The sequence below is a fragment of the Homo sapiens genome, chromosome 6 (assembly GCF_000001405.40).
Source record: "Homo sapiens chromosome 6, GRCh38.p14 Primary Assembly".
Lineage (NCBI taxonomy): Eukaryota > Metazoa > Chordata > Mammalia > Primates > Hominidae > Homo > Homo sapiens.
The window spans coordinates 119,815,574-119,836,495 of record NC_000006.12 but is presented as its reverse complement, the minus strand read 5'-3'; the positions used below and the strand labels follow the sequence as shown (position 1 = coordinate 119,836,495).

Genomic DNA, 20,922 nt, shown 5'->3' with positions numbered 1-20,922 from the left:
AAAAGAATAATAGAGAAAGAAAAGGAAGGGGGCAAAGCAAAAAAAATTTTAGATAAAAGAGAACTAGGAGAAGAGAGAGAAAAATTAAATGCCCCAAATATGGGAAATGGTTAAATAAAAATGGTTAAATAAACTATGAAATTATCCACTTTGCGAACTCTTAGGATATATTTAAATGATACCTATAAAGAGTTTATAGAGGCACATGAAATGGTTGTTATAATTTGAAATTTTAAATAAGAAACAAGATATAAAATATGGGATGATAACTACAATAAATAAAAGTCTGAAAAATAAACAGAAAGATACTAACAGTAATTTTCCCATTGTCTCTCAGTTATAGCAATACTATTCATTTTTCTAACTTTCTGATTTTTCTACAATTGTCAATTTTTAAATAAACTATATATAATTCATTATATAATATAAATATACATATGCAAGTGTGCACATATATACACTTGTGTGTGTATGTATGATGAACAAATGTATATATTAAACTTGGTTTGACAAAAGAGAAGGACTGGGGACTGACACTTTTTGGCTTCTAAGTCCTGGGTCAGCACCTTAATACAGTACACTGTTGGGAATTGTTCCTCTTTTTTTTTATGTATATATATTACTGCTGCTATTCAATCCAGATTTCCATTTCACTTAGAGATTCACTAAGAAAGATATGTAATCATGGCACACATGTAATATAAATGGGCTCCTTTTAATTCCTTTCTTCTTTCCCAGCATCACAGCCCTAGCAAAATAATAAAGCTAGGTCAAGAGCTATATTTTCAGGCTTTTAATGTGTTTCTCATATTTTACACTAAAAATGGTAAGTCAGAGGTGAGCAACAATTATGGGCTTTCTTACTAAGCAATACTGAGCAAAGGTCTCAAGGCACATGTTCAACCTACTTGTTTCTTTTGAAGTGGACAGGAATCTAGAGATAAGAAGTATCTGTACAGGTTAGAGAAGAAATTTTTCTGTAAAACCAGGAACAATTGGTTGTCATTTTGTATATTACCCTACAATCAGACTCTAGAGGACTTTGAGGTACACAGTACTCTCTTGAGATAATTTATACCAAACACAAAGGGTAAATCTCTACAGTACTTACTACAAGCAGCAAAAGGAAGCTCTAGAACAAGGAATTAAACACAGTGTTTGTTTCCAATCGCAGAAGAGGCCATGAGCACCATATGTGTGTCAGGCTTATCATCTGAACCAAAGAAAGGCCAATCCTTCACCTTTCTTATGACTCTTATAGGCTGCAATATTTCACTTGGCCATAAACAACTTAATATCTCGCACCTAGTAGTATTCAGTGACACAGAAAGGGAAAGAGAAAGGATGAAGAAAAGAGGAAAGAGAAATAATTTCCCAAGATACAAATTTAATATTCTTTCCAAAGCATAAGAGCAATTAAAATATATTTCTCTGTTGTAGTTGTAGGATGGATTTTCCTACATCATTGTTCAGACATCCTGGAAATAATATCAGACTTTGTAAAGAACACAGAATATTTTTATTTTTAATTAAGAGAACATTCCTTCTAAGGGGGTTTAAGAGCTATGAACACAGGCATCAGTAAAAGTACTTTGGCCTTCCTTGAGCTCTGATGTGTAGACTGCTCACATTTTCATCTGCTTTTGAGACCTATTTCTGTAACACTGAGGACAGATGGCATTTGTTTTTCCAAAGATCTCTCAATTTTTTCTTCTTATAGTTACTTCTTGATAAAACTTAAATGACAGAACTTTAAAGAAGTGATGTCACTCTTTTAAAGAAAGTAGCTATTTCACAATATAAAAATATTGTCCCCCAATTTACATTCTTCTATGACTCATATTTTGCTGCTTTCACTGTATACATAACTCAAAGCCAAGCTCATTTAAAGTTCACATTAAGGAAAACTTGTTTGCCAGGAAATATTTAATTGAATCACAATGCTGTGATAAATCATTTTAAATGAGTTACTGATAGTCACACCTTTTTTATAGCTTTTATTAGAACACTGAGAAATTCTGGTTACAGAAATGTATTGCATAGCACCTGAAAATATAACATACCCATGGATTAAAGAAAGGAAAATTTGTGAGGAAAAGATTGCTTTCAGTGCTTGCAAAATGAATGCTAGCTCAAGGCTGCCACATAAATTTTAAAAACCAGTATTTTTAAGTGGGCGGAATCCACAGAAGATCCATAAAATGTATTGACACAAAGGAACACAGAACTTATGGTTCAAACGAGAGAGATAAAAACTATAAGGAGGAAAGGGAATCACAGCGGGAAAAAAGAACACATGAGATGTTTAGAAATGCTCAAAATAAAGGAAGCCCATATTGCAAACTAAGAAGCTAGGATGTAATCCTAGGCACACTCCTCATTCAGTATTCGAATGGGTCTTATGACTGTTGCCTCAATTCTCTCTTTCCTAATCTTACTAAATTGCTTTTAATTATAGCCCTTAATAATTGACATGTCTGTCTCTTTAGGGTTAACAATCTCCATGTGATTATAAACACTCGTGAACTCCTAGTTGCTAGGAGTTAAATACCAAGCTATTTAATTCTTTGAATCATCTCTTCTAGAAGCAATTCTGGCAGTTCCTAACCACTATTATTGCACGTCTCTATATTTCTTCCATTTTGACTATAATTTCCTGGTAATAATATTCCTCCAAATAGAAGTATTATTTATGATTCCAACTGTGATCGTGTCTCAGAACTATGAACAGGCACAGCTCCCTTCTCCTTGGTAATGGGATGCTTCCATAGATGGTGCAAACCATAACAGTATTCCTGTGTGCCACCACATTTCAGCCACATTTCCAATTTGTTTTTCTTTATTACCATAGGTATTTTTGATGATATCATTTCCAGGTTATTTTTTTTCCTCTAAACGTCTTGTTTTTAATTATATTTCTGAGATATACGAGCCTCCTTTTATCCATACAGAATTCATCTTCTTGTTCTTTGTCCATATTTCTTTTGTCATGAAAATACCATGTTCAGATATGTTTGCACTTACCAGTGTTTGGGTCACTTTAATTTACAATAATATCCATGAAAGTCTTTATTTATTTTTAATTTCCATCCCTTATCACATCATTGAACCAAATTTTCTAATTCTGGAGGCTGTTTCTGACTATGTAACCCCATTTTGCCATATCTGTTTCATCTTGCACATTATTATAAAGGTTTTAAATGGTCTAAAACCCATCCTAAAACCCATTATAAAGGTTTAAATGGTCTAAACCCCATCCTAATGTCCATTTGAGAATTACTTTTTAAGACTACTTTGATGAATAAATGTAGTTAAACAGCAAATCAAGACATACAAAATACAAGGCTCATGAATTAGCATTTATGCTTTCTACCTGCAGGGAGAGTAATCACTATTTGGTAAGAAAGATGAATCTTTTAACTCAGGAAAAGTTTCACAAAGGAAGTGGAATTGTAAGAAGTCTGAAATAACCGATAACTTTTGGATATATTTATATGACATTGAAGAACTATTTTTAAAAAAATCACAAAGCAGTACAGAGAAAGGTTAATGTTTCTTCAAATGTGAAGTAAACAAACATGAAACTCACACAAATCCAAGTCCCATTCCAACTCTGCAGACAATTGGTTGTGGATCTTTGATGAGTTAACCTCTAAATTGTACTTTCTTCATGAGTAAAATGAGCATAATATACTCACCTTCACCTACAGAAAATAATGTAAATGAAGTAATTTATATAGTCCCTAACATATTTTAGCAAGGTATTATTTGTTCAATTAATACAGAAAAAAACATTCACTGTGTAGGACACCTGTATCATAATTGTTTGCTTTTACCTCTATGGTACACCAGGTCTACTAAGGTGAGTCACAGGTGGTTATTTCTATATTTTTCATTTGACTCATTACTTTATTGTCAAAAGTTGGTCTAATTTCAGCAGCCACAACTCTTAGAAGTAAAATTTTGGGAGAAAATGGCTTTTAGTTATGCTTGTAGTCTCTAATCTATACTATAGCACTTTATATCATATTCTAATTATATCTCATATAACGTCTTATTATATATCATATATTTTTACTGCCAAAATTCCTTAAGGTTCAAGTGTCATGTTTAAATTACTTCATCTACTTCCTATTGCAGAAGATTTTTATGTTACATGTATATCTCACGATAAGTATTTTTAATTGCTCACTTTTTAAATTTCAACTCTATGGCCCATCAAATCTTAATTATAACACCACTTGGTATAATCTTTTCTTATTCTTCTTATAAGAGATTAGCACAGAGGCACTAATTTGGCCTTCGAAATTAGTTGAATTCAAACCTTTGCTATTCTAATTTTATCCATGCCATCTTGGATAAATTAATTCATTTGTCTTAACCTATGGAGCGTGTGTGTGTGTGTGTGTGTGTGTGTGTGTGTGTGTGTGTATTCAGTCATATAACAAATGCTCATTAAATAGCACCTATATATATTCTTTTGTTTAAATTTTCCATCTGGGTTATCTCTGTTTAGAAAACAATTATCATTTGCTGATGACTTCTTATTCTTCACACTCCCTCTCACATCTACATATTTACTTTGATCCCACTGTCATCGCACATCTGGGCCCTCACCCTTAAATGTCCAAGTGCTGATGCCAATGAGCTCTCATCTGTTCTCTGGGCCTCTAGCCTCTTTCTCATCAAATCATATTCCTGCCAAGAGAAGGCCCTATAAAATATTTTGGACCATGTCACCCTCCTTAAAACATTCACTGGCTTCCCCTTGCCCAGGCCAAATTTTCCAAAATATATTTCACATAACACTGGTTCCACAAGACGCTTCTTAGAAATGAGGTTCTGAGGACACACCAGAAAACACAGTACACTCTATCCTCTACTTGAAAATTCACAGGTCATTGCGGGAGAGGATGAATAGGAGGCAAGACTAACTTGTGGCTCCCACTCAGCCAGACAGAGCAGCATGTGGAGACTCACATCATGAACTTCTGCGCCAATAACTACCTCAGGAACATACAAGGAAAGCTGAGAGAATCTACAGACCCTTTGAAAGAAGTGGAGTGCTGCTTCAGGCCCTGGGTGACAGCCAAAAAACCATGAATGCCCAAAGTGTGAAAGTGTGAGGAGGATCATCCACCCCTGAACACATACTCTCACTGGGGAACCTGAAGGTATAGATCACAGGAGGAGGGTTTTGACCTTACCTGGAACTGAGATAACTTCAGAGAGCTGAGCAAAATACAGGGGTAGAAGAAGCATCGAGAAGAGCCCTGTTGTCTCTCTCAGTCCCCAGGGAAGTCATTTCTGACTTTGTCTCACAGGAGTCCTTGGGGAGGGCTGCCAGAGGAATTGGGAAAAAAACACAGGGAGAAGGAAACTTCCAGCTGAACTTTGTAACAATTTTGACCAAGCATGAAGTTTCCTGGACAGAACCCAGAGGAAGGGGTGAATTGGGAGTGCAGACAAAGCACAGAAGCTGTGGCAGGCAGGGAGACATGAAACCTGGAAGCCCTGCTTGCTTTATCAGCTGGAAGGCTGGTAGACTGAGGAAAGCTCTCAGCCCTGCTCAGCCGCTGTCTGGAAACAAACTTGGTGCTGTTTCAGGGAGGGCCACGGTGGGAGTGAGAACAGCCCTTTGGGCTGTGCGGGAGCTGGGTGAGACCTGTAACTGCCAGTTTTCCCTCACTTTTCTGGCTACCTGCATGACGCAGCAGAGGTAGTCATAATCTCCCTGGGAACATAACTCCATTGGCCTAAGAACCACACCCCCATCCACCACAGCAGCCACAGCAAGCCCCACCCAAGGAGAGTCTGAGCTCAGACATGCCTAATCCTGCCCCCACCTGATGGTTTTTCTCTACCCACCCTGTGAGCCAAAGACAAAGGACATAATCTCTTGGGAGCTCTTGAGCCCCACCCACCACCTGATCCTCCCTATACTACCACAGCTAATGATCTCTTGAAAACACCACCTCCTGGTTGGAGGCAATCAACACAAAACTAGTGCAATAAACAAAACTACAACTACAGACCCTCACAGAGTCCACTTCACTTGCTTGCCACCTCCACCAGAGCAGGTGCTAGTATCCATGGCTGAGAGACCTGAAGACAGTTCACATCACAGGACTCTGTGCAGACACTCCCCAGTACCAGCCCAGAGCCTAGTAGCTCTGCAGGGTGGCTAGATCCAGAAGAGAAAAAAGAATCACTGCAGTTTGGCTCTCAGGAAGCCACATCCTGGGGGAAGGGGGAGAGAACCACATCAAGGGAATACCCCATGGGACAAAAGAATCTGAACACCAGCACCTGAGCCCCAGAGCCCCAGATCTTTCCTCTCACACGGTCTACCCAAATGGGAAGAAACTAGAAGAACAATTCTTGTAATATGACAAAACAAGGTTCTTTAACAGCCCCAAAGGATCAAAACTAGTTCACCAGCAATAGATCCAAATCAAGAAGAAATCTCTGAATTTCCAGAAAAACAATTCAGAAGGTTGATTATTAAGCTAATCAAGGAGGCACCAGAGAAAGGTGAAGTCCAACTTAATGAAATAAAAAATAATAATAATACAAGATGGCTGGGTGCATGGTTCAAGCCTGTAATCCCAGCACTTTGAGAGGCCAAGGTGGGCAGATCATGAGGTCAGGTGATCGAGACCATCCTGGCCAACATGGTGAAACTCCATCTCTACTAAAACTACAAAAATTAGCTGGGCATGGTGGTGCACGACTGCAATCCCAGCTACTCAGGAGGCTGAGCCAGGAGAACCCTGGAGGCAGAGGTTGCAGTGAGCGAAGATTGCACCACTGCATTCCAGCCTGGTGACAGAGCAAGAGACTCCATCTAAAAAAAAAAAAAAAGGAAAACAAGACATGAAGGGAAAAATCTTCAGTGAAATAGATAGCATAAAGGAAAAACAATCACAACTCTGGAAATGAAGGACACACTTAGAGAAATGCAAAATATACTGGAAAGCCTTCGCAATAGAATAGAACAAGTGGAAGAAAGAACTTCAGAGCTCAAAGACAAGGCCTTCAAATTAGCCCAGTCCAACAAAGACAAAGAAAAAAGAATATTAAAAAATGAACAAAGCATTCAAGAAGTTTGGGATTATGTTAAACGACCAAACCTAGGAAGAACTGGTATTCCTGGGGAAGAAGAGAAACATAAAAGTTTGGAAAACATATTTGAGGGAATAATCAAGGAAAATTTTCCTGTCCTTACTAGAAATCTAGACAATGAAATACAAGAAGCTCAAAGAACACCTGGGAGATTCATCGCCTAGGTACATAGTCATCAGGTTATCTAAAGTCAAGATGAAGAAAAGAATCTTAAGAGCTATGAGGCAAATGCCTCAGGTGACCTATAAAGGAAAACCTATCAGATTAACAGCAGATTTCTCAGCAGAAACCCTACAGGAGGCTAAAGGCACTATCTTTAGCCTCCTTAAACAAAGGAATTATTAGCCAAGAATTTTGTATCCAGTGAAATTAAGGTTCATAAATGAATGAAAGGTAGTCTTTTTCAGACAAACAAATGCTGAGAGAATTCGCCATTACCAAGTCTTCACTTTAAGAACTGCTAAAAGGAGCTTGAAATCTTGAAGCAAAGCCTTAAAATATACCAAAATAGAATCTCCTTACAGCATAAATCTCACAGGACATATATAACAGTAACACAATGAATAAAACACAAGGTATTCAGGCAACAAACAGCACAATGAATAGAAGAGTACTTCATATCTCAATACTAACATTGAATCTAAATGGCCTAAAAGCTCCGCATAAAAGATATAGAATGGCAGAATGAATAAGAATTTGCCAACCAGGTATCTGCTGTCTTTATGTCTTTATCTGCTGTGTTTCTGAGGACTCACATAAACTTAAAAACATAAAGTGGGGAAAGCACACCATACTCAACAAACGTTGTTGGGATAATTGGCAAGCCACATGCAGAACAATAAAAATGGATCCTCATCTCTCACCTTATACAAATATTAACTCAAGCTGAATCAAAGATAACATTGGAAAAATCCTTCTAGACATTGGGTTAGGCAAAGACTTCATGGCCAAGAACGCAAAAGCCAATGTAACAAAAACAAAGATAAATAGATGGGACTTAAACAAAAAAAAACTTCTACACAGCATAAGAAACAATCAGCAGAGCAAAAAGACAACCCACAGAGTGGGACAAAATCTTTGCAGTCTACACATTTGACAAAGGATTAATATTCAGAGTCTACAAGGAACTGAAACAAATCAGCAAGAAAATAAAAAAAAGTCCCATCAAAAAGTGAGCTAAGGACACGAATAGACAATTCTCAAAAGAAGATATAATAATGGCCAACAAACATATGAAAAAATGCTCAACATCACTAATGATAAGGGAAATGCAAATCAAAACCACAGTGAAATACCACTTTACTCCTGCAAGAATGGCCATAATCAAAAAATCAAAAAATAATAGATGTTGGTGTGAATGTGGTTAAAAGAGAACACTTTTACAGTGCTGGTGGGAATGTGAACTAGTACAACCACTGTGGAAAACAGTGTGGAGATTACTGAAAGAACTAAAAGTAGAACTACCATTTGATCCAGCAATCCCACTACTGGGTATCTACACAAAGGAAAAGAAGCCATTATGCGAAAAAGATACTTGTACACACATGTTTATAGCAGCATAATTCACAATTGCAAAAATATGGAACCAGCCCACATGCCCATCAATCAATGAGTAGATAAAGAAATTGTAGTATATATACCATGGAATACTACTCAGCCATAAAAGGGAATAAAATAATGGCATTTGCCACAACCTGGATGCAATTGGAGGCCATTATTCTAAGTGAAGTAGCTCATAAAAACATTGTATGTTTTTACTAATAAGTGGGAGCTAAGCTGTGAGGATGCAAAGGCATAAGAATAATACAATGGACTGTGGGGACTCAGGAGAAAGGGTGGGAGGGGGTTGAGGGATAAAAGACTACACAATGGATACAGTGTACACTGCTCAGGTGATGAGTGCACCAAACTCTCAGAAATCAAGGCTAAAGAACTTATTCATGTAATCAAACACTACCTGTTCTCAAAAAACCTATCGGAATAAAAAAAATTAATCAAAAAATAATTTTTTTAAAAGAAAGTGAACGACAACCTCAAAAATGGAAGAAAATATTTGCAAATTATATGCCTCATTACAGACTCATATCCAGATTTAAGAACACTCACAACTCAACCACTTAAAAAAAATACAAATACTGGACAAAGAATTTGAATAAACAGTTCTTCAAAGAAAATATAAAAATGGTCAATATGCATGACCATGGAAAGATGCTCAACATTATTAGCCATCAGTAAAATGCAAGTCAATACCACAGTAAGATACTTCTTCACACCCACAGGAATAGCTGTAATCAAATAGATAGATAATAACTATTCGTGAGAATGCAGAGAAATTGGAACCCTCACACATTACTGGTAGGAATGTAAAATAGTGCAGACACTTTGGAAAACACTTTGGCAATTCCTCGAAAAGTTACACATGACATTACCGTGTGACCTGACAATTTCACTCTTAAGTATATACTCAAGAGAACTGAAAACATTTATCCACACAAAAACTTGTACATAAATGTTCACAGCTGCATTACTCATAAGAGTCAAAAAATGAAAATAACCTAATGTTCACCAACCGATGAATGAATAAACAAAATGTGGTATATTCATACAATGGAATGTCAGTCACACATAAAAAGAAATGAAGTTCTGGTCTATGCTTACAACGTGGATGAACCTTGAAAACATTATACTAGTTGAAAGAAGTCAGACACAAAAAGCCACATATTGTATGCAGAGTGACTGCTATTGGATATGGGGTTTCTTTTTGGAATGATAACAATGTTCTGGAATTAGATAGTAGTGATGGTTGTACAACTGTGTGAATAGAATATGCTGAAAATCACTGAATGGTGCACTTTATGAATTTATGGTATGTAAATTGTATCTTAATAAAGCTGTTATTGAAAGAAAATTCACAAAGAATGTCAGTATATCAAAATCTCCAAAACTGTTAAATCCTTATCTTCCAGAAAATTTACTTCTGAATCTAATTTGGATTCCTGACAGGCTTGCTAAAGTTAAATTGTACAAAAAAGTCTTGACTCTCCTGCTCCCTTAAAACATACTCCTATCCTTACATCCCTACTCACCCAGTTGCTCATAACAAAACTTGGAGATCATTCTTGATTTTTCTCTTGATTCCTCTCCTACCACCCCCACCTCATCCAAGTCATCAAAAAAATATCAGTCCCATCTCACAAATACAAACTAAATATAGCCAATCACTTCTTGCAAAATACATCCTAAAATCATCATCACACTCTTGTGAAACTGTAACAGCCTTATAAAAGATCTCTCTACAATCACATTGATCTTCAAAAATCTATTCTCTAGAAAGCAGCTAGAATGACACTTTAAAAATGCAAGATACATCATGTTACTCCGCTGTATAAAATTATCCAATGAACATCTTATTCTGTCCATCATGGACTGGGGCCATACTAAATGGCCCACCATAAATAAAGAAATATAAAGCTTTTCCATAAAGGTAAAAAAGAAAAACATTTTAGACATTGTATGATGTCTTTACGATACAGGATTGAGATTTTTAGGGGAATAAAACAATTGCTTTCTCTCTGGAAGCACTTTATGAACAAGGAGATGAAACAATCATACTGGGTTGAGGAGACAAAGATCAGAGTTTGGAAATATAAAAGAGATTTATATTGTAGGGCAAATTTCCAGAAGACAGGGAGCAATACAGGAAAAAGGATACAAAAATCTGCCTAGGTTCGCTCTTAAGTATATTGATAAATATTAATTTGTGCTCACACATGATGAAATTAAATAAGACTGAGAAAACAATAACTGGAAACTGTAGGTTTAATTTCCAGAGCTCATATAAGGCTGGGAAATATTCACGCTCCCTTCAGCCAGAATAGAGTTCAAGTTAACTCCTAAAGTATGAAGCAGAGATACAGAAGTCCACAGCTTAGCAGTGGGACTGAACAATTCTTAGATAAAAGGCTATTTCAAATATATTCTAAATATCTTCAAAACTAAACTAAATAAATGAAAAAAATTATTTCCATATAACATTGTCTTCCAGAACAAAATTCAACACCCTTTAAAAGAAGAAAACAAAATCCAGCAATAGCAATGAAAAATTCACAGGTACAGCATCTAGTAAAATTACTAGATATAAAAAAGGCAGAAAAATATGAAAAATGAAATTCCTAACTACCAGTCAATAAACTCAGATCCAGCAATAAAAAAGACGATGAAATTAGGTGATGGAATCTAAAGGAAACCATGAATAAAATAAAGAGGGAAATGGAATATATTTTTTAAATCACATAGAATTTCTGGATATGAAACATAACTTCTGAAATGAAAAACTCAGTGAATGGGATTAATAGCCATTAAATATTGCAGAAACAAATATCAGTAAATTCAAATACCTAGTGAAGAAAACTTTTCAAAATAAAACATAAATAATAAATACTCAAAAAAGGAACCGAGTTTTTTGTGACCTGTGGGGGAAATTATAACTAGAAATTTGAAGTCCCAGGAGAGAAGGAAAAGGGAGATGCCAGGAAAAAAGTTTTGAAGAAATAATTGCTGAAATGTTCAAATTTTTACATCCCAGGTTTAAGGGATTAAATAAACCCCAAGCATAATGAACATAAAGAAAAGCACACCAACAGGCATCATAATTAAATTGCTGAAAACCAATAATAAAAAGAAACTCTTAAAAGGCAAAAGGCACAGTACATAAGAGGAACAAGGAAAGAGTGATTACATACTTCATGCACATACGCTCAGAAATGAAAACTAGAAGATAATGGAGTAATATCTTAAAAGGACTCAAAGGAAAAAAAATCTGTCAACCTAGAAGTCTATATCCAGTGAAAATATCATTTTAAAAATCAATTTTAAAAATCTTAAAAATCTTTTAGACAAAGAAATGCTGAGAAAAATTATTACTAGCAGATTTGCACTGTAAGGAATGATAAAGGAAGTTCTTCAGGCAGAAAAAAATATCAAGTAGAAATTTGTAACTATACAAGGGAATAAAAAGCACCAGAAGTGACCGGTATGTTGACTAATATAAAGTCTTTCTCGTTTTACAATTTTTTAAACTGGCAAAATTCTAATAAGGTTTGTCATTTAGTTATAGTATCATATAAATGTTACATACCCAGTCTTGAGAATTGCACCATGTCATGTTGAATGTTAACACTAGGAGAAGCTGGGAAATAAATATATAGGAAATCTCTACACTATTTTTTGCAACATTTCTGTTAGTCTAAAATTAGTTCAAAAACAAAAAGATAAATTTACTCTTTAAATAAAAAAAAATGACAATATATTGTAGGGTTTATAACATATGTAAAAGAAAATTTTTTCATAATACCATTTAAAGGACAGGAGCAGGAAATGGATCTGTGCTCTTTTAAGATTCTTAAGTTATATGTAAGTAGTACAATGTTATTTGAGGTAGACTGTGATAAGTTAAGACGCATATTGGAACCCTAGATCAATCCCTAAAATGTAAAATAAAACAAAAGCAAGAGCTAAAAACCAATAGTAAAGATAAAATAGAATACTAAAAAATAAAAAATAAAAAATTCATCAAAAAGAGAGTGCAAGCAAAGAGAAAAAGAACAGAAGGGACAAATAGAAATCAAATAACAATATAATAGATTTAAACTCAACGAATTCCATTAAATATAAAAGGTTCCAAGACTCCAAATAAAATGTAGAGAATGCCCATTTGGAGACAGAAGGGAGGAGGGAGAGAGGAGAAACAGATAGATCATACAGACATAGTATATAGTACATTAGCATTAATATGTATAGGTGAAGTCTATTACTCTAAATATAAAGACACATTTTAAAAGCTAAATGATGAAAAAAACACCGTGCAAAAACTAATCACAAAACAGCTGAATTAACTATATTACTATCAAACAAAATAGAGTTCAGATCAAGGACTATTACCAGTAATAGACATATTTAGAAATAATAAAGATGTCAATATATATAGTATATAGCCTCTCATCTTTACATTTCTCAGATGTGTTTATAACACTTGTCCTCTGTGGCCCACAAACAGCTTACAGAATCTCCAGGAGAGACAGACAGTCATGTCTGAATGAGACACGGCTTGAATGATACCATCCAGAAGTATGCTCTGTCTCACACCAATATATATATATGATAGGTACTGCTACCACATACTTCAAGAAAGACGTTGGTGTAGGCACTGAGCAAGTGAAGTATGTGGTAGATACTTCACTGCTACCACATACTTCACTTGCTCAATGCCTACACCAACTTTTTTGAATTTCCTTCCTACAGTACCCAGACCAGAACACTAAACAGCTGCATTACCATTAATTTGCATGTAGGATGCTAGACATGCCTTAAGCTCCTTGCTAGCCAGGGAAAAAGCAACAGCAGGTAGCAGCCATGAGTGGAGAGATGGGTTCTTCTCATAAGCAGAGACCTTTGATTCTTCAGGATGGTTCTGGTAGAAGTTCGGGCATTTGGTCCAACATTATAAAATATAAATTATCTCTGCGAGACAGCAACAGTTTTTTCTGATACAAAAATCATTTCTGTGATGAGGTTGGGTATTTGCCCTCACTGCTTTATGGTCCTAGTTTTGTATTATTCAAAATTGGTTTCCTAGAACAATCAAGGGTGTGTAACTAAATCATAACTTATAATTTATTCCTGTCTGCTTAACCTTACAATGAAGAATTCTAACCAATACTTGGAGTGTGCAGCATTCTCCAGAGACCACTCTTCCCATCATCACACAAAAAAAAAATCACCTACATTTGTATTTATGAGGTGAATGCACCTCCTCAAAACGGCTATTTCAGTCTTCCTTTACTCCTGAAAATTTTCCAGTGCATCTTCCACCTGTTTCTGCCTAGGTCTCTTCACCTACCCACGTGGGCTTCTTAGATAGGATCTAAGAGAATGCTAGGCTAGATGTCGCTCATCTAGACCATTATTGGCCCTTGGGAAATACTTACACAAACTTCATACTTAGTAATTCGTGGAAATGCAAGTTAAACAAATACAGTCAATACAATGTTTTTCTACAGTCAGAGAAAGGAACTCTAGACTTAGCCTCTCATCTTTACATTTCTCAGATGTGTTTATAACACTTGTCCTCTGTGGCCCTCAAACAGCTTACAGGATCTCCAGGAGAGACAGACAGTCATGTTTGAATGAGACACAGCTTGGATGATACCATCCAGAGGTATGCTCTGTCTCACACCAAGCTTTCTGATTGAAGCCCCTGGCATTTGAGGAGAGGAGAGGACGCAGCAAGCCCCTGCATCCTCATGAGGGGATACTCTCTAAACTCCAACTTTTTGCTAGCTTTTATAACCTCTTGTAAAGGCTATGTGTGGAGGGAGGATTAAGGTTGTCAAAACCAGTTCTGAGATAACGTATTTGCAAATCGTGCTAAGGTGGCCTAATATTTTAATTTGGGATATGGGAATATCTGCCATGTAATTATTTCATGCTCAGTCTTTGAGTGTAAGCAGAAAATTAGATGAAAGGCCATTCTATTTTACACAGTTCACCACGTTTTTTTTCCTATTCTACCTTTAAAAGTCTGCTTAGAATCCCTAAAATATCACACACATTGCCATATTTTCATCTCTGCTTATCCTCTTTCTATGCGCTTAAATCAACTCTTAGTTAATTTAAGGACCTCCTCTTTCTTCAAGACCCAGCTCACATGTTACCTCTTCCATGTTGACTATTCTAGTGTGTCACTTTGGGCTTCAGTGCCTATACCACTTACAAGGCTCTTAGACAATGACATATCACCCAAACACAGTACGAGTGTTTTATTTCCTCCTGTTGTACCCATGACAGACATCATTAGTCATTCTTGATACTCTTTCTGGCTAAGTCGTTGGGTAGAGTCTTTTTAACACAGCTCTCCAAACAACTATTATCAATCTATCACTGCTGAAGCATTATGTGAAACCTATTTCACATTCTTGAATTTTTAATAGACCTCTTATAGATATATCCCACAAAATTAGATTAAAATAAGCCAGAAGGTATATACAAATTCTTCTTATAGCCCCAGTAACAAAGACAAATTAGGCCTCAGTAATGTCTGATGCTTGTTACTACAATGGTTCTTAGCAGCAGTTGACTTTAGCTCTTGTTTTTCTGTTGTGTTTTCTATTAGTCTTTGAGGGCAAACACAGAAATTTAAATATATTTTTAATGCTCTAACCTTTACATTAGTGACTGATGATATTATAATTTCAAAACATTTTGTATGTTTGAAAAATTTCATAATAAAGAAAATGGCGAAGAATAGAATCCTAAGAAGGAAATAGCAGAAATTACTGTAATGGTGCATGAAACCACATGGAAGATCTACAACACACAGATAAGACACACATTTAAATAAAACAAACAGAAGCTCAGGTGCACTTCTCTAAACAGCACACTAGAAGCAGCATGTATCTAGAAAATGCAGAATGATATTCACAGGGGCAGAATTAAAATCCTATCCTTTCCTGATCCAATATCCCCATGATATAAATGATAAGTCTCCATGGTTAGGTCATCCAAAACTTAACTACCCTTGCTGAGGGTACTTATACTGATAACAAGTATCGAAGCTATAGAAATTCAATTAAAATGTCTTAGGAAACAAACATAAAGACTACCACTTTCTTGTTTAAGAATTATAATATCGCCTGTTTGATAGTGGGTTTCGTGTATGTTTCCTTCATATCCCAGCACCTAGCACAATGCTTTTTTAGGGGGCACCAAAAATGTACTTGTGACTATTTGTTGATCTGAGTTAATAAAAACATCGTTCCCTGATTATGTTAAATTATCATTTTTCATTAGGAACTTAAGGGGGGGCTTGTCATGGATACTTTTATGCATTTCTCCATCACTAGCCCTGAACAAGTCTTTATTAGTAGAATGAAAGGATTTGATGACAGCTTGATCTTCTTCAAGCTCTAATGTTTATGATTCTTTGAAAAATCTCCCTGTAAATAAACACATCAGCAAGCTTAGGTTCTCAATGAGAATTGAATAAGCCTTCTGTTCAGTTATCCTGAATGCTAAACATTCTTCTGCAAATATGGGAAGAATCACTTGATTTACTCATTCATGCATTCACTCAAAAATGTATTGATCACCTACTAAGTAAACTGCTAGTGTTGGGTGCTTTGTGGCAGCAAAAAGTATAAAAACCAAACACTGCATGTTCTCACTCATAGGTGGGAATTGAACAATGAGAACACATGGACACAGGAAGGGGAACATCACACACCGGGGACTGTCGTGGGGTGGGGGGAGGGGAGAGGGATAGCATTAGGAGATATACCTAATGCTAAATGACGAGTTAATGGGTGCAGCACACCAACATGGCACATGTATACATATGTAACAAACCTGCATGTTGTGCACATGTACCCTAAAACTTAAAGTATAATAATAAAAAAATTAATTAATTAATTAATTAAACTAAATTAAATAAAGAGTTAACACTCTTTATTTTCCTACCTCAGCCTCCCAAGTAGCTGGGAATACAGGTGCCCGCCACCACGCCTGGCTAATTTTTGTATTTTTAGTAGAGACGGGGTTTCACCATCTTGGCCAGGCTTGTCTTGAACTCCTGACCTAGTGATCCACCTGCCTAGGCCTCCCAAAGTGCTGGGATTACAGGCGTGAGCGACTGCGCCCTGCAGACAACTTAAACAGATAGTAACACTACAATGTATCATCCTCTTTGAGAAGCAGTCTATAGTACGTTTTTGATAACTTTCTGGGATTATAACTAATGACATTGTCTAAACTGTGCCCAAAAGTTTACATTTATTTTTTTCTTACAGCTTAATTATCCTCTGTGATCCACACTAAAGTATTTTGAAGAATGACAAAGCTCTCCAAGGGTCTTAATACAGGTACAATGCAACAAGTCACACACACACACACACGCACACACACAGAAAAAGTATGAACTATAACTCACTGGAAACTAATTTTTTAAAGCTAATTGAAGAAATGAAAAGCTGAGATTGTCTTAGACAATCTCTCCTTGGACTTTTGATAGCTACACTGACATTCTTCTTTAAATCCTACTGACCTTTTGGTTGTTTATATATACTTTGAACTTTCTCTCTCTCTGTTTTATTTTTGTTTACTTCCCTAGTTTTATCTCTATATTTTATGGATACCCAGTTTCAGTTCTTGGTCCCCAATCTGCTTTCTTAGCCTGCTGCTTCCTAAGACCCAGGTTAATAACTGATGAGTAATCCAGACATTAATTTTATGAGACCAGAGAAAACAGAACAGTCAGTATGGCTGGGGGAAATGGAGGTTACAGAGAAGTTCACAAGGGAGGATACAGATAGTGAGTATTTGAAGGGAGAATAGGATTTTTTAAAGTGCAATTAAAAGCTTAGTATAGTTCAGACATACAAAAGTGCATGAGCTAAGGCAGGCAGACAGTCTGATCAATGAGGTAAGTTAAAGGTTTGGGAGAGAACAATCTGCTGGAAGAATAAATTTGAGTATTTGAAAGATAAGTGATGAAAGCCAGAAGCAGCTTGATCCCAACCTGATTAACATAACCAAAGGTGGGCACATACTGGAAACTGCACAGGATGGCAAAATAGCCTGAGAATCCTTCCACTGTTACATGGGCCTCTCTTCAAATAGTAAAATAAGAGATGGTCAGTTGACTATTCTACCCAGTCCTTTCCAGAGCTCCAAGAAGTAGCAGGAAATCAGAAAAGACACCTCTTGAGAAAAACAGTCCACAAAACTGATATGTGAATTAAATTCAATACAAGGTTTTTGGGTAGCACTTCCTTTTCTTTGCTTAAAGGGCTTATTCAAACTATTTTCGCCTTTTGCCTATTTCTAAAGAACTCTCAATTGCTTAGTAAATGTTTTTGGCACAAACTGCCACCCTTCTTTTCTTTTATCTGTCCCACGCATACTGCACCTATTAATTTTGACATTCATTATAAGAATCATCCCACTACATCTCAGTTATGTGCATTAAAGCACAATGTATTTTCTCTATTACTCTTTCTTATGTTTCTATTTTATTAATGTACAAAACCTTGTTCAAGCTAGATTGTTTTCTTACCTTAATCCATTATTTAATTTTTTAGGTCAAAATTATTATTACTATTGGTGAATTATGCCTTGTAAATAAATTATATATAAATATATTACATGTCTGAATCACAGATGCATATTATAGTTAGTGTATCATATTACATATCTTCATGTTACTTAATGCTTCCTTTAAAATTTTTCTTTAATATTTAAAAGCCACTTAAAACATGCTGTTTGGCTTTTATAACATTAACACCAGTGTTAGTGAAAACTGTTTGTCTGAACTAATAAATAACCCTTCCCTGTTGGGGAAACAAAATATCTTCTTTATGCCTTTGAAAAATCATCAGTTTACTTGCTTCTTAAATCAGACTATTTGTTATGCAGGAAACCCATCGAAACACTAATGATACCTCTATCAATAAGAATTTCAGAAGCTACCAAGGAGCCACAGACCAATGAATCTTACTTTCATACCAGGAAAGCTGATTGAATTCATAATAAATGTAAATTCAGAGTATGCTGGAGCAGGCATAAACTTAAAAAGAGAAGTAACATGGCAAGAAATCAGGTCTGACTATCTCAAGATATAAAATAAGCATGTTAAAAACAAGTAAATGTGATTTATTTAGTTTAGAAAATATTTAACAACTAGACTTTGATCTTATTCTGAGTTCCTTTTTATCTCTGTATACTCAATGGTTATCTAGGCAATTAACATTTGTTGGGTGCCCAAAAGATGGTTGTAAAGTTGAGTAGACCACGTCAATAAAAATGTAATTTCAGCACATCAGGAATTTAGAGACATGATTGTTTGGTCATAGAAAGACAATTGAGTTTTAATGAGATATCAATGAGAAGAAAACAGTAGTTCTTCCAGATAATAGAGTTCAAACTATTGGCTCCGCAAGGGATCAGAATTTCATGAGTACTCACAATAAAACGGTATAAATACATTTCTTTGGTTTGCAGAAGATAGTAAAATATCACCCCAATAAAAACAATTTGCAAAACTATCATGCTCTGTGTGTGTGTGAAAAAATAAAATGGCAAGTGAGTTTCAATATGAGTAAAAAAACCATGTAAACCCATACAGTTAGTAATGAGCTATCCATTATGATCCAGTATTCATTAAATGCGTGACTTGTTGCACTGTACCTGTATTAAGACCCTTGGAGAGCTTTGTTATTCTTCAAAATACTTTAGTGTGGATCACAGAGGATAATTAAGCTGTAAGAAAAAAATAAATGTAAACTTTTGGGCACAGTTTAGACAATGTCATTAGTTACAATCCCAGAAAGTTATCAAAAATGTACTATAGACTGCTTCTCAAAGAGGTTGATACATTGTAGTGTTACTATCTGTTTAAATTGTTGGCCCCGTGAGGTAGCTCACGTCTGTAATCCCAGCACTTTGGGAGGCCTAGGCAGGTGGATCACTAGGTCAGGAGTTCAAGACAAGCCTGGCCAAGATGGTGAAACCCCGTCTCTACTAAAAACACAAATATTAGCCAGGCGTGTTGGCGGGCACCTGTATTCCCAGCTACTCGGGAGACTGAGGTAGGGAATTGCTTGAACCCAGGAGGCGGACGTTGCAGTGAGCCGAGATCGTGCCACTGCACTCCAGCCTGGGTGACAGAGTGAGACTTCGTCTCAAAAAAAAAAAAAAATTTCTTCAATAAAGTTATTAAAAACCAACAGAGAAAACATTTACTTTTATAGACATATGTAATGCATTTATTCCTGAAACAAAAGTCCAAGTGAACATAAGTGCCTAGTAATATCCGCACAAGGGTAGCATAGCAATCAGGGTTCTCTAGAGAAATAAAACCAATTGGCAATTGGATATATGTGTGTGTACACACACACACACACACACCCACACACACATTTATTTATTTTAAGGAATCTGTTCATGCAATTAAGGGGAATGGCATGTCCAAAATACACTAGGAAAGCTAGCAAGCTAGAAACTCAGGCTGAATTTCTATGCTTCAGTCTTGAAGTAGAATTCCTTTTTCTCCAGGAAATCTCAGTTTTTTCTCTTAAGGCCTTCAATTGATCAGAAGAGACCCACACACATTATGGAGGGTAATCTTCGTCATTTAAAGACAATTGATTGTAAATCTTAATGACATCTACAAACATCTTAACAGCAACATCTAGACAAGTGTTTGAAGTGTTTGACTAAACAACTGGGCATTATAGCCAACTGAGTTGACATATGAAATTAACCTTCCTAGGCAGCAAAGACAGTTTAGGTCTACTTTAGGAGAACAAACAAAAGGGGAGGAAGAGTTTTGGAAAGACAAAGTAATATGATCTGCAGTTTTGTGTCAGTTTATACATGATTTTACAGAACTTTATACATGTGATTTTGGGAAATTGCTACTATAAGAGGAATGTATCAAGTGGCCAAGAGATCCTAAAATACTGATTGGTGATGACACTAAAATCAGTAACTGTCAATCATCTTTGGTTTTACTACACAAAAGTAATTACAAAAATAACAGAATAGGTAAGAAACATTACTAGGAAAACTTACCATAAAGATGACATTTGTTCAAAGTGAGAATGAATGCATTGATATTACTAAGACCACTACGTTCTATTTTCTTCTAACAGCTGTGGCCAGAAGGAATAATTTTGTGTCCCTAATATACTTTATTAGGATCTCTTGGCAACAGGGGCTCTATCTGCTTTCCTATGCAAATCAGGG

The 20,922-nt window shown here is 35.9% G+C and overlaps 1 long non-coding RNA gene across 1 annotated transcript in view, besides 2 other annotated features; it reads right to left on the bottom strand.

The window, feature by feature from the left end:
* The window catches only part of LOC105377975 (uncharacterized), a 295,277-nt gene that overhangs the window by 8,589 nt on the left and 265,766 nt on the right, over positions 1-20,922 (bottom strand). The gene's annotated exons all lie outside the window — the stretch shown is intronic.
* Positions 5,122-5,661: an enhancer, noted in NCBI's record as "H3K27ac-H3K4me1 hESC enhancer chr6:120151981-120152520 (GRCh37/hg19 assembly coordinates)". NCBI's record gives its function as "activates a minimal SCP1, AML or CMV promoter by ChIP-STARR-seq in primed H9 embryonic stem cells {active_cell/tissue: H9 hESC(primed)}" and the evidence as "EXISTENCE:reporter gene assay evidence [ECO:0000049][PMID:30033119]".
* Positions 5,662-6,201: an enhancer, noted in NCBI's record as "NANOG-H3K27ac-H3K4me1 hESC enhancer chr6:120151441-120151980 (GRCh37/hg19 assembly coordinates)". NCBI's record gives its function as "activates a minimal SCP1, AML or CMV promoter by ChIP-STARR-seq in naive and primed H9 embryonic stem cells {active_cell/tissue: H9 hESC(naive and primed)}" and the evidence as "EXISTENCE:reporter gene assay evidence [ECO:0000049][PMID:30033119]".